This window comes from Homo sapiens, chromosome 2 (assembly GCF_000001405.40).
Source record: "Homo sapiens chromosome 2, GRCh38.p14 Primary Assembly".
In the NCBI taxonomy this organism is placed as follows: Eukaryota; Metazoa; Chordata; class Mammalia; order Primates; family Hominidae; genus Homo; species Homo sapiens.
This window is the reverse complement of record NC_000002.12, coordinates 98,003,166-98,021,736: the sequence shown is the minus strand read 5'-3', so window position 1 is coordinate 98,021,736 and position 18,571 is coordinate 98,003,166. Positions and strand designations below refer to the sequence as shown.

At 44.5% G+C, this 18,571-nt stretch overlaps 4 annotated features.

Annotated features, from left to right (window-relative positions):
* Window positions 4,764-5,137: an enhancer blocking element, noted in NCBI's record as "374 bp MIR2 fragment used in the reporter constructs". NCBI's record gives its function as "blocks activation of a CMV promoter by a CMV enhancer when located between the enhancer and promoter in transfected HEK293 cells; also blocks activation of a somite promoter by a CNS enhancer when located between the enhancer and promoter in zebrafish midbrain {active_cell/tissue: HEK293 | midbrain}" and the evidence as "EXISTENCE:reporter gene assay evidence [ECO:0000049][PMID:26216945]".
* Window positions 4,825-5,078: a mobile genetic element.
* Window positions 4,878-4,879: a transcriptional cis regulatory region, noted in NCBI's record as "B-box mutated nucleotides". NCBI's record gives its function as "necessary but not sufficient for MIR2 insulator function in a zebrafish reporter assay {active_cell/tissue: midbrain}" and the evidence as "EXISTENCE:site-directed mutagenesis evidence [ECO:0005528][PMID:26216945]".
* Window positions 8,706-9,165: an enhancer, noted in NCBI's record as "active region_16252". NCBI's record gives its function as "activates an Ori minimal core promoter by ATAC-STARR-seq in GM12878 lymphoblastoid cells {active_cell/tissue: GM12878}" and the evidence as "EXISTENCE:reporter gene assay evidence [ECO:0000049][PMID:35858748]".

The following is an 18,571-nucleotide window of genomic DNA, read 5'->3' as shown; positions in this document are numbered from 1 at the left end:
GCTGATGGGAGCAAACGATGGAACAGGCATGGTCCCTGACTTCTAGGAGCTTGTGTTCTAGAGAGACAGAACTAAGGGAAGGCCACTCGGTGAGTGCAGTGGCCAGAAGGGCCCAGGGTTCTGGGACAGCACGAGGAGGGCTGCAGCCCTGTCTGTTGTTCAGGGGTGGCTTCTCAGAAGGCAGAGGCATGAGGCTGAACTGGCACTGGGAATGGAGGTTGGGGAAGGGCCAAGTGGAGGAGGCGGCGCCCTGCTGTTGTCATGGCAACACTGGGGCCCTGGCATTCATAGCCTGCCCCTGTGCTGCTATGTAATGAAGCCACCAAACTGTGGTAGGGAATTGCCATTCATGTAATTTATTTTTATACCTTATTTCCTCCCTGAAACAGTTGAGGAGAATTGTGAGAGCAAACACACAGCACAACAGGATAAAAATAGCCCTTCAAGTGAAGGGAAAGCAAGGAGACCTGGTCAGATGAAGCCGGAGGGCTCCAGGGTAATCTCCAGCCCTGGGGAGCCGTCAGATGCGTTACTCACATAGAGACGGCCTGCCCGCTGTGTTATCTGGGAGCCCAGGCACTTGGCATCACTGCAGCCTGGTCCTGGGCAGGCCCAAAGATGGGAGTAATTTGAGGAAGCAGAACCATGGGGTCCTCTCAGTTTCATAAGTGCTGAAGGACATAGAACTGAACCCTTGACCTAGCACCCAGTGATGGGTGGAATCGTGTTCCCCGGAAAAGATATGTTGACTGACATCCTAGCCCCCTGTACAGTGTGAGCACTGTAACCTTATTTGGAAATGGGGTCTGTCCAGATGTAATCAAGTTGAAATGAAGTCAGTCATTCAGGTGGGCCCTAATCCAGTATGACTGGTATCCCTATAAAAAGGAGAAATCTGAACACAGAGACAGACACGCAGAAAGAAGATGGCCACGTGAAGAGGGAGGATTGGGGCAATGCACCTACAAGTCAAGAAAAACCAACGTCTGCTGGCAAACTGGTAGAAGCTAGGGAGAGGCAAGGAAAGGTCTTTTCCCTGCAGGTTGCAGAGGGAGGTGGCCCTGTCCACACCTTGATTCCGTCCTTTCAACCTCCAGAATTGTGAGATAATCATTTCCGTTCCTCGAAGCCACCTTGTTTGCAGTGTTTTTTTACAGCAACTCTGGGAGGCTCAGACACACCCTGATTCACAACTTGCTGCTTAAAAGGCTGTTGGAATGAGGGCCAGCTTGGGAGCATGTGAGGGGCTGAGACTGTGAGGTCAGGGGCCAAGGGGGACTGTATAGCAGAAGGTGCCCAGTGTGGGGAAAGGAGGAATGTGTCAATGACAGGGATTGTTCCTAACTCGAGAAACCTTCTTCACCATTAATTTCACTTCTATTGTACCACAAGGAATGGAAGGAGACCACACATACAGAAATTTCAGTTCACTCACAGTCTTAGAAAGACTTCCCATTTCCTGATCAGTGTTCTACTTGTTTCTGGGTTTTTGGCTGTTTTTTAAAGTTTCTAATGTCTTTGACTAATCATTTTTCTACATAGTCTATAACACTTTATTTTAACTTTATGTTAAAATACAAATAGCCAATTATAACTAATTTGTACCTTTCATTCCATGTCAGAATCACAGACAATGTGACTTGTCACACCTGACAGAGTTTGGACATGCCCCTAGGTGACTAGTCACTGAAAATGAAAAACTATTTAAAAGAATAATTTTTTTAAAAATGTAAGGAGAGGTGGGGTGGCAAGGCCAACTACTTTAGTCTGCCTTAGTGTAGAGCAAAGCTCCAACATCTACTGTACAATTTTTGATTTCTAAGATTTGGTTACATAACAGCACCCCAATGTCAGTTGGTCTTTGTTTTTTTTTGAATAATTTTTAGTGCTTCAGTTTCCTTATTTGCAAAGGAGCAACAATAATATCACTACCTCATAGGGTTGTTGAGGGCTTAGAGGTTAACTTGGCGCCATGCTTGGCACGTGGTTAGTGCTCCAGGACATTAGCATGGGTGTCTCCTCTACACTGTTCCTGACTCATGAAAACACTGCCAGTGCTTGACCCTCACCAACGACCGCACTCTACCAGCTCCCTGCACAGCCCATCCCAGTTTAAACAGCTTAAATGTTAAAATGTTCCTCCTTACTCTAAGTCCATGAAATTCTGCTACTAGAAATTTAAAATTAAGAAGTGAGTCGGGCCAGGTACAGTGGCTCACGCCTGTAATCCCAGCACTTTGGGAGGCCAAGGCAGGCAGATCATGAGGTCAGGAGATTGAGACCATCCTGGCTAACACGATGAAACCCCGTCTCTACTAAAAGTGGAAAAAATTAGCCAGGCGTGGCGGCGGGCGCCTGTAGTCTCAGCTACTCGGGAGGCTGAGGCAGAAGAATCGCTTGAACCCAGGAGGCAGAGGTTGCAGTGAGCCGAGATCGTACCACTGCACTCCAGCCTGGGCGACAGAGCAAGACCCTCTCTCAAAAAAAAAGAGAGAATGTCTTTGTAAGTAATACATGCACGTGTGATGGGGCATCAGATCAGCAACTTACTGTCAAATGGCCCTGGGAAAAAGTTCTTCATTGTATACTTGGAGAGAGTTTAATAAAAAGACTCAATCTTGTTAAGATGGCGGTACTCTCCAATTTGATCTGCAGAATCAGTGAAATCTCTATCAAAATCCTAACTGGTTTCTCTGAAGAAACTAACAAGCTGATTCTAAAAATTGATATGGGAGAAGGAAGATTCTTTTCAACAGATAGTGCTGGGAAACTAGATATCCGCCTGCAAAAAGAATGAGGCTGAATCCTTACCTCACAGTATATATAAAAATTAACTCAAAATGGATCAAAGCCATAAATCTAAGAGCTGAAACTCTAAAGCTCTTAGAAAAAACAGAAGGGTAAATCTTTATGACTTTGGATTAGAAAAATGCTTTCTTAGCTATAACTCTAAAAGCACAAGCAACCAAAGAATATACATATAAATTGGACTTAGCCAAAATTAAAACCTACTGTGCTTCAAAGGATACTACCAAGAAAGTGAAGAGACAACTTAGCAGCTTTTTAAATAATAGCCCCAAACTGGAATCAACCCACATGTCCTTTAATGGGTAACTGGTTAAACAAACTGTGGTACATTCATACCATGAATACTATTCAGCAGTAAGAAGGAATAGACTACTGACACATACAATAACTTGAATGGACCTCAAGGGCACTATGCTGAGTGAAAAAAAAGCCAACCTCGGCTGGGCGAGGTGGCTCACGCCTGTAATCCCAGCACTTTGGGAGGCTGAGGTGGGCGGATCACCTGAGGTCGGGAGTTCGAGACCAGCCTGACCAACATGGAGAAACTCCATCTCTATTAAAAATACAAAAATTAGCCAGGTGTGGTGGCGCATGCCTGTAGTACCAGCTACTTGGGAGGCTGAGGCAGGAGAATTGCTTGAACCTGGGAGATGGAGGTTGTGGTGAGCCAAGATTGCGCCATTGCACTCCAGACTGGGCAACAAGAGTGAAACTCTGTCTCCAGAAAAAAAAAAGGAAAAAAAAAAAAGAAAAAAAGCCAACCTCAAAAGGTTACATACTGCATGATTCCTTTATATGACATATGACATTCTTTTTTTTTTTTTTTTTGAGACAGAGTCTCGCTGTGTCACCCAGGCTGGAGTGCAGAGGCATGATCTCGGCTCACTGCAACCTCTGCCTCCCAGGTTCAAGCCATTCCCGTGCCTCAGCCTCGCAAGTAGCTGTGATTACAGGCACACGCCACCATGCCTGGCTAATTTTTTTTGTGTTTTTATTAGAAACAGGGTTTCACCATGTTGGCCAGGCTGGCCTCCAACTCCTGACCTCAGGTGATCCACTCACCTTGGCCTCCCAAAGTTCTGGGATCATAGGCATGAGCCACCATGCCTGGCTGGTGCTTCTTTAACTATATTTTGGGGAGTTATTTTCTTGGTGTTTGCCTTTGGGATACTATTAGCCTCTTAATTTATAAAAATCAAATTGTATTGATACCAAATTAATTTCAATCAGATTTAAAAACTTTGCTTATACATAGCTCTGTTTCCTCCCCTTCCTTTGTGCTGTCTGTGTCATGTGAATTATATCCTTATACATTGTGTACCTATCAACATAGTTTTACAATTATTGCTTTATTGCAATTGTCTTTTAAATCAGATAGGAGACGCCGGGTGCGGTGTCTCACACCTATAATCCTAGCACACATTTGACTGCAGAACTCAACTCTCCCAGAGACAGTAATCTGCAGAACATAATTGAGACTTGGACTTTATGCTTGGATATCTTCCAGCTGTGCCCATTCTCTGACCTGCCATGCTCTCCCATATTGCCACACCTCTGAACCCTACTTCCTCTGCTTTGAAACCCTTTACGCTCCCACATTTATCTGATTAACTATTCATCCTTCAAAACTTATCCTAACCATCTTCATCTTCCTGAAGCCTTCCCCACCTCCCTCTCATAGAATTGGCCACTCCTTCTCCTGAGATTCCCGAGCACTTTGTAGAAACATCCACTGAGTCATCATTTGCCATGCTGCAATATAATTATATGTTTACATGGCTCTTCTTGTGACCTCCTTGTGGGGACTGTCACCTCCTCAAGAGCAGTGACCAATCTGATTCATCTAGATGTCCTCAACGCACAATATAAGGCCAGGCATTGGCAGCATCATAACCGTTGAGTGAGCAATTCTTACTTCCAAAGATGACAGCCAGTGGAAATCAAGGATCATGACCAAGATGATCCACCCTGCAATATTTAGCAGCATTAAGACAAGTCACTGCAATCCTCTGAGGCACAGTATTTCATGATGACTAGGAGCACAAACTCTGGGGCCTGATGGCCAGGGTTCATATCTACACTTTATCACTTGCTATCTGTATAACCTGGAGCAACTCATTTAACTCCCTTTAGCCTCAGATTCCCCATCTGGAAGATGAGGATAGTAGCCTCCTCTACCTGATGGGATGTGTGGGGATTAAATGAGATAATTCATGTAACAGAGCTACCAAGCCCGACACATAGAAAGCACTCAGTGAGCAGTGGCTGTTTATGTTATTACCTTTTCCTGCTTGTCACCTGCCTGCCACCACCTCCCCTCCTATGTTCAGTCAGTTATCAGCAGGCTCCCCTCTAGCTTCCTTACCCCTGACCTCCTGCCTGTCACTATCACCCATGACCAACACTTGTCCACCCATTCATACCCAGGGGCAGCCTGAGCTGCCAGCATGCACCCATCCTCACATGTACCTCCAGGGCTGTATGCACAGGCCCAACTCATCCCTCAAGGCCAGATTCAAGCTGAGTCTGCCTGTGAAGCTTCACCAACCCTTGGCCTCTCCCTTCCCTCCTGTAGCATTCATCTGGCCCACGTGATGAGCATTTGGCCATGTACCCCCATTGTTTCACATAGGCCAGAGTTCCTCCCTCAGAAAGATGACAGTCCTTCTGGGCAGAGGCCTAAGCTCATTCCATTTCCTTCTGTGACTGGCTCCTAAATTCAAGACCCAGGCAAGGGCCATGGCAGGATACTGAGAGTGCAACAGCACATCACGCCGTCTCTATACATGTCCCTTGAGGTCGCAATGATGAGATAGCAGCAGTCCCACAACCAGCTGCCTCCAGAGTCCAGGCAGCAGGTTCTATGTGAGATCTTCAAGGTTTTAGATAACTAAACCTTATACTCAGAGGTGTGATGTTATCTAAAATGGTTTGATGATCTTGGGCTGCATGAATAGAAGCTCAGTTTCCAGGACAAAGGCAAGGGTTTTGTGTCTTCTCAACTGGTGTGACATTGTGTTTCATCCCTGCACACTGATGGACTGTCATAGCAACACCAAGAATACACAAAAAAAGGGAAGCACCAATGTCTAGTAGTCTAGAAACGACCTCTGATGGGGAACAGCCAGAAACATAAGAATTTTCCATTAAGAAAATATAATCATGTGATGTCCTTTAATAAAGATTTTTAGGGTTTTTTTTTTAACCTTAAAATCTAGCATTCATAGTGATGTAGCTACAACATCCTAGCAAGCTGTTGTTATTGTTTTTTCAAAAAAAATCAAATTGCCATCTGCTAAACCTTGTTGATAAATTTATTTCGAAACATGCTTTCTTCTTCCTTTCTCCCATCCCAATCTTAATTATAGAAGAGCCAGCCCACAGTACTCTCCTCCAATCAGGGCTTTAAAACACTATGAGCTATCTCACACGAAATGTGAGGTCTGGAAATCAGTGGGAAGAATAGTCTGTAAACTGAGCATTCAGTGTAGGAAGACAGTGAATATTATCTTGAAAAACTGGAATTATGTTACTGAAGAAGTGTAAGGTGACTATTCATGTCTACATGAGATCGTAAGGAAGAGAGACTCAGCAGACACAGCCAATGGTGGGACCCACACTGCAAAACCTAATGATGATTAAACAGTCTGAGAGGCTTAAGATGCTCAGAGAAACAAAGGAAAGGACAGAATCCACAGGGCAGGGAGAGGATATTGGGGAAAATAAGGAAGCAAATAGAAATAAAATAGCCATTAAGGTTAAAACACTCCCTAGGCAAGTTAAACTAGATGACTAGATAGAGGACTTGTAGTTTGGAAGATGATTCTAAGGAAATCAGACCAAAACACAGAGAAAGAGCAGAAATTATGAAAGTGAAATCAACGTAATGTGAAGAGTAGAATGACAAATTCAATATAAATCTAAATAGGGATTTGAAGCAGAGAATAGGGAGAGTGAGGGAGAGGCAACATATTGAAGAGATAATGGAGGAGAATTCACCAGAATTGAAGAAGGGTGAGTGCTCAAACTGAAAAGGCACACGAATTATGAGCAGAATACATGAAAATAAATCCACCTGCAGTCGCACTGTAGTGATGCTGAGGAGTGTCAAATACAAAGACCAAATATTAAGATTTTCTTAAGAAAGGGAACTAATGTAAGTTACTGAGAAGCTATATCCTGTCTTTTCTGCTGGGCTGGTGGGCTGGTGGCTGGTGGCTGGTGGGTTGGTGGGCTGGTGGGCTGGTGGGCTGGTGACTGGTGGGTTGGTGGGATGGTGGGCTGGTGGCTGGTGGGTTGGTGGGATGGTGGGCTGGTGGCTGGTGGCTGGTGGGCTAGTGACTGGTGGGCTGGTGGGCCGGTGGTTGGTGGCCTGCTGAGCTAGTGGCTAGTGGGCCGGTGGGCTGGTGGGCTGGTGGCTGGTGGCTGGTGGCTGGTGGGCTAGGGGCTGGTGGGCTGGTGGGTGGTGGGCTAGTGGCTGGTAGGCTGGTGGGCTGGTGGACTGGTGGGCTGGTGGCTGGTGGTCTTCAACTTCCAGCCAGAGAATGCAGCAAGAACTGAGAAGTAGCCAGTTACTCTCCAAGTGAAGGTTAGGCTACTTGAGTGAGACATTTAGACCAAGAAGAAGGTGGCAACTTCATCCAAACCACTCTGCAAGGCCTCGTTGTTAAGATATGTTGATAACGTGGGCTTGGGCTTTCATTCTTTAACATGGGTGGGCATGCATGTGCGTGCATGTAGGGCAGTGGTGTTGGGCATCTTAAATTATCTGCAATCCATCTCCTACTTTTTAGTAATGTACATAAAAGGATAATGAAAGTCTCCCAAAGCAAAAGTTCTCAATCCTAGCTGCAGGTGAGAATACACTGACGCCCAGGCGGGCCCATGTTTAAACTCTCTGGAGAGTGACATCAATGATATAGATGAGTCTGTGTCACGGGGCCTCCTCCTCTGTCCATGTCCTGAAGGAACTCAGCCAGTGTGCCTGCAATACGTGTCAACTGCCTCTCTGAGCATCAAGTCCCGTGAGGGTCCCTGAGCCGTGATGGGGTTGCTGGTCCCCTGCGTTCTCCACCCTCTCGTAATCATGGTTGTGTCCACTGCATGCCCCCAGTCCTGTTGTAAACTTAAGCTTCACCACAGGCAGGGAAGAAAGACACTTTCTCTTTAGACAACTGGCTCGGCTAAAATGTAAATATGACCTTTGGGAACTGCTAACCTGACCACCCGAGGGTTGATTCCAGTAAAAAGAATATCTTCATCATTTTCACTTGCAGAATTACAAAGACATGACAAACATCGCGTTCTGTTTTAAACATCGTCACCCAGAAAGCTTTACCCCGGCTTTGGAGTCAGAGTCTGCTGGGATGTACTTGTTGAAACCACTTCTTTCGCATGTGGGAGGCTACACAAATTCCTGTGGTTTTGGGACCTTCAGTTTCTTCATCGGTAAAAAGAATGAGGGGGCTGGACTGGACTTTTGGCTTGTGGTCCGTGGGATACAGGGTTCAGACCTCCAGGAAACTCTCCAAATCAGGGCCTTTGCAGATAGGACCCAGGCTTTTGTATTTTAAGAAGCCCCCACAGATGATACTGACATACACTGCTGGCTACTGACCTCGATTACTTTAATTCCTAACATTTTATATTAAAACCCCCAGTTTGCAGACAAAGTAAAACAGTGTCTAATAATAGTGCTAAAAATTCCCTCACAAAATTTTAGTACTATGATTCCATTTAAATTGGATTTTTTCAATTATTTAGATAAATAATTAATTTATAATGAAAGAAATCCAAGTACCAACGCTGTATTAACCAATATGGCTCTAATATATATATACTCATCATTTAAGTGAAACAAAGTACTTGGTTTAGGAGGAATACTAATAAGAAATGCCTTAGTTAGGAAATGTTCTAAAACATTCATGATGAAAAAAGGGCAGTGTAGGAGTCTCCAAGCAAAACTACCTCATTTCATTACCAAATCATTAGACCTCAGAATCAGGTCTTACATCAGGGATGAAAATAAAGAACTGAAACTTACCCTGGAATTGAGAACAGAAACTGAAGCCATGGCTAAAAAGCAGAAGATAGCTGTAGAGAAAGCACCTTCTTGTCATAGCACCCAGTGGGTGAGCAAGGAAAAACTGATGAAAGGAAAATCCTGGTGGGCGAGGCTCAGGGTGCCACTGAGTGCTGGTCTCTCTGGCCTGTGTGGAGAGGCAGGAGCACTGTCTCAGCATCTGAGGATGAACTAGACACTACACCCCAGCACAGGTAGGGCGCACCTCAACTCCGACCCCTCACCTCTGGGCAAAGGTGGGGCAGGACTACAACTCTAAAGCTATTAAGTGCCTCATCCTGTCAAAGTCAAGCCTCAGAATAGAAACTGAGTTGACTTATAGAAAAATGAAGTTGTTTTTCCTTGCACATTTGTGGACTGGTACATATATATCCCCGCCACAGAGTCGCTGTGGTCGTTAGCTTTGTTTAACTCTGCTCTTTGGCTCAAATGGAGATCTTGGCATACCCTGAGTACCTTCCGGCTCCTTCTTTTTTTTTTTTTTTTTTTTTTTTTTTTTGAGATGGAGTTTTGCTCTTGTTGCCCAGGCTGGAGTGCAGTGGCGTGATCTCAGCTCACCGCAAACTCCGCCTCCCAGGTTCAAGCAATTCTCCTGCCTCAGCCTCCTGAGTAGATGGGATTACAGGTGTGCGCCACCACCCCAGCTAATTTTGTATTTTTAGTAGAGACGGGGTTTCTCCATGTTGGTCAGGCTGGTCTTGAACTCCCGACCTTAGGTGATCCTCCCACCTCGGCTTCCCAAAGTGCTGGGATTACAGGCGTGAGCCACCGCGCCTGGCCTTCCTGCTCCTTCTACTTCTTCAAGTATAGATTGCTCCTTCCTCCCTCCATTAGCAGTGGGAGAATTTATTCATTCACTCCCTCATTTCATTCATTCGTTCTATAAACACCACATGTCAGAGACAACACAAATGTCAGGCACATGTCAGGCAACACGTCAGGCAACACACATAATAGCAGGAGGCTGCGCATGGTGGCTCATGCCTGTAATCCCAGCACTTTGGGAGGCCAAGGCAGGCATATCACCTGAGGTCAGGAGTTTAAGACCAGCCTGGGGAACATGGTGAAATCTTGTCTCTACTAAAAGTACAAAAATTAGCCAGGTGTGGTGGTGGGTGCCTGTAATCCCAGCTACTCAGGAAGCTGAGGCAGGAAAATCGCTTGAACCCAGGAGGCAGAGCTTGCAGTGAGCCAAGATCATGCCACTGCACTCCAGCCTGGGCAATAAGAGTGAAACTGTGTCTCAAAAAAAAAAAAAAGAAACGGAAAGAAGGAAGGAAGGAAGGAGAGAGAGAGAAAGAAAGGAAGGAAGGAAGGAAGGAAGAAGAAAAAGAAAGAGAAAGGAAGGAAGGAGGAAAGAAAGAAAGAAAAAGAAAGAAAGAAGAGAAAGAAAAGCAGAGAACAGGACAAGTTCCTTTTCTCCTGAAGACTACATTTTGAAGGTGAGCGACAGACAGTAAACAAATAAATATATAATGTGTCAAGTGGTGACAAGTGCTCTGAAGATAAATATAGTAGGGAAAAGGAATGAAGAGAGACAGGAGGCAGATGCTATTTTAGAGGTGGTCAGGGAGGCCTCTATGTTGACCTGACATTTGAGCAGAGAGGTCTGTGAACTTATAAAAATGCTTTATACACAGGATAACCACAGATAATCAGCCAACTGGCACAGTAGGGGAACTATTCCCTCAGCAGTACACCCAGAGCCTTGTCACAGTGTAAGGCTGGATCAAATGACCTCTAAAAGAGGCGTAATTGCCAGCTGGGTATGCATCCCCACTGATGAAAGGGAAGCTGACCAAAAATAAAAACTGGTAGCACTAGAAATGGGCTCCCATTCAAAACAATGTTCCTGTAAACATATATTGAATTACTTATCAAAAGAGTAGACTGACAAAATCTAAATACCTAAAACTATCCAGAGTATTTCCCAATCATGTTTTTCCTTATACTGCATTGATCCGAAAATGTCGAGGAAAGGTTTAGAAATGCATGCTCCCCCAGGCACAGAGGCTCACTCCTGTCATCCCAACACTTTGGGAGGCCAAGGCAGGAGGATCACTTGAGGCCAGGAGCTCCAGACCAGCATGGGCAACATTGCAAGACCCCATCTCTACAAAAAAATTTTAAAATTATCAGGGCATGGTGGCATGCACGTGTAATCCCAGCTACTCAGAAGGCTGAGGTGGGAGGATCCTTGAGCCCAGGAGTGCGAGGCTGCAATAAGCTTTGATTGTGCCACTGCACTCCAGGCCAAGCAACAGAGCAAGACCTCATCTCTAAACAAAAATAGAAGTTCAAGGTCGCAATCATGTTCCAAGATTCCACAGAGACACACAATACGGCTTATGGAAGGCCTCCTCTCAACTGCAAGTGAGAAGCAGAAGGTGTGTGGAGGGTAGACAATGAGACTTCATGGTCAGGCGGGCCTGTGTCTGAATGGAACTGAGACAGGGATGTTAAATAACTTGCCCAAAAGCACACAGCCAGTGAGGCAGGAAGTCAGTATTAAACCTCAGGCAAATCTTAGGGGAATTATGCTGAGGGAGAAAAAAAAGCCAATCTTAAGAGGTCACATACTGTCTAATTCCATAACATTCTTGTGTAACATTCTTGAAATTACGAAATTATCAAAATGGAGAACGGGTTCCAGGTCAGAGGGGTAGGGAGGGAGGTGGCTGAAGCCATAGCAGGGTAGGATGAGAAGTCCTGTGGTGATAGAACAGGTCTGGGTCTTGATTGTGGTGGTGGTGTGATACCGAAATCTATGTGTGATACAGTTGCACAGGATTAAATACACACACACACACACACACACACACACAGGATGTATTAAAGCTGGTGGAATCTGAAAAAGCTCTGTGGATTGTTCCAATGTCAATTTCCCGGTTTCAGTAGTGTTCAGTAGTATGCAAGATATTACCCGTGGGTGAAACTGAATGAAGGGTTCACAGGATTTCTGTTTTTATTTCTTACAACTGTGCATGAATCTATAATTACTTCAAAATAAAAAGTTAAAAACCAACCAAACAAAAAGCAACTCAGGCAGTTGTAGGCTTGAGCCTAAGCCTTAACCATGATGTAGGGCCAGTAGCTGTGAAACTTTTATGAATCAAGAGATTTTTTAATTAAACAATTTCTATTATTCTGCAATGTTCTCTTTACCTTTTTAATGGACAAGGAAAATAAATCTAATTTAAAATAGCTTTCAAATGCATGTATTGAGTATTTTATCTAAATCCTTACTTTCTCATAATATAGCCCACATAAAACATCCCAATTCAACATAAGGGGAGAAAACAGCTTCTAAAATATCTGCATTTCTTTCACACATCCCCATTAAAATACAAACTTCTATAGATAGAAAAGTAATCAGGAAGCAAAAGCTTTAAAATAATCCTTGGCCAGGTGTGGTGATTCACGCCTGTAATTCCAGCACTTTGGGAGGCCGAGGTGGGCAACCCCGTCTCTATTAAGAATACAAAAATTAGCCAGGTATGGTGGCACATGCCAACATGGTGCAACCCCGTCTCTATTAAGAATACAAAAATTAGCCAGGTATGGTGGCGCCTGCCTGTAATCTCAGCTCCTGGGGAGGCTGAGGCAGGAGAATCACTTGAGCTGGGAGGCAGAGGTTGCAGTGAGGCTAGATTGTGCCACTGCACTCCAGCCTGGGCGACAAGACTCTGTCTCAAAAAATAAAATAATAAGCAAGACTCTGTCTCAAAAAATAAAAAAATTAGAAAAAATAATCCTCAATGTCCAGCACCATGGACTGAACTGTCCATGTAACACTCACGTGTTTCTACTGCATTTGTGGAAGGCTGTAGGGAGAAAGGAGTGCCTTTGCTCAGCATACCTTCTGCAAGTGTCCCCCAAATCCATAGTAAAAGTAACATCCCTTTTGTTCACCTTTAGTTGTTTAGATTTTTCTGAAATTTTACATTTTAGGCTCTGGAAGATACTATATCGCATGTACAGCAACAATCTGCGCAAACTGCTATGCTTAATTGTGGGAAAATGTATTTTTAAACAATCATTTACAAAGCAAATTTGAGATAGCACAGGATGGTGACCTGGCTCTGCAGAGACCACAGGCAAGGAGGCAGAACAGTCTGGCAAGACTGTGATCCGGGAATGCAAACCTGGGCCTGAGAAGGAGGGGAAATTAATTCCCCCAGAGAGGCCTGGGAGCCCTGGTGAACCCGAGAGCAGGGAAAGGACCAGCTCGACCCATGAACTCCTGGGAAGAGCTGGGGAGCCAAGATCCTCTTGGCCCCAAGCAAGGCAGCTTAGGGACAGTCACAGGGCACAGGCCTGGGGGGCTGCACCAGCAGCTCTGGAAAACCTGGCTCTCCTTCACTTACTCTGCCTGCCCCTTCTCCCTTCCTATAATAGGAAGAGATTGCTTGAGAAAAAAATTAAATAATATTTTCATTGTAAATTTGAGAATTTATCAAAGAGAAACATTTTCTGCTCTTGGGCCTCAGGCAGCTGCATGGTCTGCATCCCAAGACCTGGGTGCTAGGTGATAATGACAAGAGCTTTGATGGGTATGGTGCCAGAGCAGAGCTCAAGAGAGGATGACTTGAGCAAAGATTTGACATGTAGTTCATTTCCCTCTCCTGCTTTTTAGTATTTGTATTTGATTCCAGACTTTCCTACTAAGTACCTGTAATCCCAGCACTTTGGGAGGCCAAGGTGGGAGGATCACTTGAGTTCAGGAGTTCAAGACCAGCCTGGGCAACATAGTGAGACCCCCCCCTCCCTCGCCGGCTCTGTTAAAATAAATAAAAATTAGCTGGGTGTGGTGGTGTGTACCTGTAGTACCAGCTACTTGGGAGGCTGAGTTGGGAGAAGCAGTGAGCCTGGGAGGTCGAGGCTGCAGTGAGCCATGATGGCGCCACTGCAGTCCAACCTGTGCAACAGAGCAAACCCTGTCCAAAAACACAAAACATAAAAGGGGTAGGGGGAATAAGCATTCCCATTAATTTCTGATGAACCCCAAAATGGGTTACTGTTGGTGATTTTATAGCCTCCAGCAGTCAGTGCAAAGACTTTCAGATTCCTACGCGTGAGACTTAGGCCTGGTGGGTATAACATGTGGGGGAATCAGCCAAGCTCACAGTGATCCTCTCACTGCCCTTGTTACCTACAGGAATAGAAGAGCACCCAGGACTGTGGGTGCACTGGAATACTGCACCCTTGGCCCCACCCCCTCCCAAACACAGTTGGTGGGCCCGGCCTCTACTTCCTGCAACTGAAAATGAGTCTGAAATTCTGGTTCTGTCCGTTCTGTGCAGACTGCAGCTGACATGTTTTATGCCATGGGGATGGAGTAACAGGAACACCCATCTTCAGGGACAGGACTGAAGCTGATGAGAGGCACATAGATAAAAAGTGTCCTCAGAGACTTTCCTCTTCCAAGTGTTATCCTTTTCTGGGACCCAGCCACAGCCCCCTTCTCAGGTCTCCACGGCACACTTCCTTTTCCTCATGATAATGTCTACCTTTCTGGCCAATCTGGTCTGAGTTCGTTTTTCTCACCTTCCAAGGAAGTGTCCTGCTGAATAGTGGTGGAGTCTGCAGGGCCAGCGACTGTGCTGTTTTGCTCAGCACTGTATCTCCTGTGCTATTGCATCTCCTGGCATGTAACAGGGGCTCAGTGATGGAGTTTTGCTCTTGTCGCCCAAGCTGGAGTTCAGTGGTGAAATCTCGGCTTACTTCAACCTTCGCCTCCTGGGTTCGAGCAATTCTCCTGCCTCAGCCTCCCAAGTAGCTGGGATTACAAGCACCCGCCACCACGCCAGGCTAATTTTTGTATTTTTAGTAGAGATGAGGTTTCGCCATGTTGGCCAGGCTTGTCTCCAACTCCTGACCTCAGGTGATCCACCTGCCTCGGCTTCCCAAAGTGCTGGGATTACAGGCATGAGCCACCACATCAGGCTGACACAGAGATTTTTTTTAAAACTAAACTTGAAGTAAAAACACACCACTTTAGCCATGTTTAATTCAACAGAAACGTTATTAGCTTTGGCCCACACAAGGGGTGGGGGTGTTTACAGAAGAATGTAGAGATAATCGGCGCTGTCTTAGAGGTTTCCCACCACACCCTTCTAGTCACTTGGCAAAGAAAGCAACCTCAATCTCATATATGAAATATATATATATGAGATATATATATGTATATATGTATATATACGTACACATATACGTATACATACGTACACATATACGTATACTTGTATACGTATATATACATATATATGTATACGTGTACATGTATACGTATATATATACGTGTATATATATGTCATTGGAACTACATATATAGTTTCATACATATGTAACTATATATCTATTTATACATATATGTAACTACGAAACTATATATGTATGTAACTTTGTATACATAAAGTCCAGTTTCAATGGCATCCATGGAAATGCTGAGCAACCAGTTCTTGGCAGGGTGGGGCTAAGGGTACCTCTGTAGCAAAAGTTCATAGACAGTCATGTAAGCTTCACATTTTACATAATTCAGACTCATCTTCAACATCCATATTTCTTGGAGAAAACGTTCAAGAGAATCTGGTTGGGCCAATGTGGGAAAGGAGTCCATGGCCAATTAACTATGGCAGGGAAGGCAAGACCATGAAGAACAAGCCTGTGTGCCAGAGGTCCACCGCTGTGGGCAGGGGAGCTGCGCTCTCAGAGGGAGAACAAACGGGTGATGCACCAGACTTCACCCTGGTGATGCTTACAGCCTGCATCTCTGATGGGAAGGGATTGGCAGCAGCTAGAGCTGAGAGCAGGCTGCTCAAGGGAAAGGAGCTGTGATGAAAGCAGGGGCCTCAGGAGGCAGGGAGGTGCATCTGCAGCAGCTCTCAGGTCATATCCTAGGCCTGTGTTTGGCTCAGGCTAATGCCTCACATGCTTCTGCCTGCCTCAGAGACATCAAAAGTCTGTGCGTATCATGTTAGTGAACAAACGAACTTTAGTGTCCTACCAGGGTCTCAGACTAACCAGAGAAGAGGAAATTAGCTCAGAGCTGGACTCAAGCCTTCTGTGCTAACCTGTGCAAGCAATCATGGCCTCAGGAGGCTCCTGGGTACTGCCTCTTTAGAGGACAAGAGCAGGTGGTCCTGAGGTCCCAGTAGATGCTGCAAAGCATGGGCACCATTGGCTGCCACTGCAGGCTAAGATTGGTTGATTCAGACGTTTGGCAACAGTGAAAATTCTGTGGAGGAAATATTTCCTAGGGCCTGATGCACCCTCAGGCAGGCCCCACCTGCACCAGCAACGGGCTAAGATCCTTGCTAGCCATCTCTAGTGGAGCTTCATCTAGATCTGAAGTAGCTGTAGGCCTATCATTGCTTCTTTTGTCTTTTTGAACTTTTTATTATGGAAAGTTCCAAGCGTACCTAAAGTAGAGGGACTAGACAGACTAACATAATGAACTTCCACGCGTTGATTACCCAGCTTCAATAATCACCAACTCATGGCTGATCCTCTTTCTTCTATAGCCCCGCCCACTGTCCCCACCCACCCTGCAGATTATTTAGAAATAAATATCATTATATCATTTGATTCATACTTCAGTATATATTTCTGAAAGATAAAACGAATTTAAAAAATCTTTAAAAACCTCTACAAAATCCAAAATAGCCATTATTACGTCTAAGATGATTAATAAATTCTCATCAGAAGTATAGTAGAGGCTGTGCTTTGTGGCTCACGCCTGTATTCCCAGCACTTTGGGAGACTGAGACAGGAGAATCACTTGAGGTCAGGAGTTTGAGACCCATCTGGGCAAGAAAGCGAGACGCACCCCTCCCAATACCCCTACGACCCATCCCCCACCCAACACACAAATTTAGCTGGGCTTGGTGGTGCATGTCTGTAGTCCCAGCTACTCAAGATGCGGAAGTGGAAGGATTGCTTGAGTCCAGGAGCTCAAGGCTACAGTGAACCAAGATCATGCCACTGCACTCCAGCCTGAGTGACAGAGCAAGACTCTACGAAAGGAAGGAAGGAAAGGAAGGAAAGGAAGGGAGGGAAGGAAGGGAAGGAAGGAAAGGAAGGGAGGGAAGGAAGGAAGAAAGGAAGGAAGGAAGGGGAGGTAGGAAGGAAAAAAGGAAGGGAGAGGAGGAGGAGGAGGGAGGGAGGGAAAGGAGGGAGGGAGGGAAGATCAGAGGGAGGGAGGAAGGAAGGAAGGAAGGAAAAAAATCAGTATTCAAATATTCCCTGTTACTGCTTTTCTTAATACATAGACTAAAAATTAAAATTTCAATTTCCCCAACTGCTTTTAAAAACATTCATATTTCACTGGTGACTACAACAAAAATGTATAAAGCCAACAAACAAAAATGTATAAATGACAAAAAATTAAATCTGCTCTTTAGAACTTGATAATTCATGAGAAAATGAAAATAGTTTCCATCATCCTTTCTCAGGCTGCTGTTTTTTATTTGTCTAAGAAGAAAAGAAAATATGTCAAAGCCTATGGTAGTCACTAGGGCTGTTCACTGATGGGCCCACTTATTTATCTCCAGCCAATGGGAGGATTGAACTTCCCTGGTACCTTGAAGTTTGTGTGGTCATATGACTTGTTCTGGCCAATGAGTGTGAGTGGAAGTGATGAAACGTCAGTTCTTACCAGAAAATTTAAATCGACATTAGGAGACCCTCCATAACCCTCTTTTCTTTCTGCTACAAGTGACCCAAATTACTCCACTAGCCAGGATCCTGGATCAACATGTTGTGGGAGAGAAAAAAACAAATTGCTGTTTTAAGCTATTGAGATTTGGGGGTTCTTTATCATCACAGCATAACTTGGCCTACCCTGACTTATAGAAAGTGGCTAGGCTTAAGCTTGTGATTTCAGGGAAGTTCAAGCTAAGGCTAATAACCTTTTAATGTCAGTCCTCTTGAGGAATCATTTCATTCACCTCTTATGATATTACTATATTGATCCATGCTATCATTTTACTAGAGGAGTAGAATTTTAATTCTGTAGTCTTCGACATTATTATGAGATTAAAACAATAATTATAAGAGTGGCCTGCCATATAAAACACCAAAGATATATACAACTTTAATTAAATGGACCCGAAGACGAAACAAAAGACGAGACCCTGGCCTGGAAGTCATGTCTCTGCCCTGCCATGGTCTTGGATAGGTTTCTTCATTTCTGGGCCTCAGTTTTCTTTTTTATAATAATGATTATTATTATAACAGTGACATTGTTGAATATCTGCCATTTGCTAGGTAATTCCATGGTACTTTAGTTTATTCAATTCTTACAACTAATCTTCAGTAGTTATTTTTACCCTTTTTTAAAAACGTGAAACTGTGGAAACTGAAGTTTAGACAGGCTGAGTAATTTGTCAAACCATAGCTGGAAGTGGAGGAGATACTTCCAAAGCCAGACTCAAATAAATATTTAAGATCCATTTCTTGTTCTAAAATCCTATGGCTATTTTGGTGTAAGATGATTCACAAGAAGCAAAATTACATTGTCAAAATGAAAATCATATTTACTCCACCAAAAAGAGCAGTTCTCTTACTGGCAATCATATTTTCCAGTGTGATAGAACACATATTTTATGGAGATCAAAGACTCTGCTATTAATATTTCCTTGCCTGCATAAACTATGAAAGGGCTTCGAAGCATCAAACTTT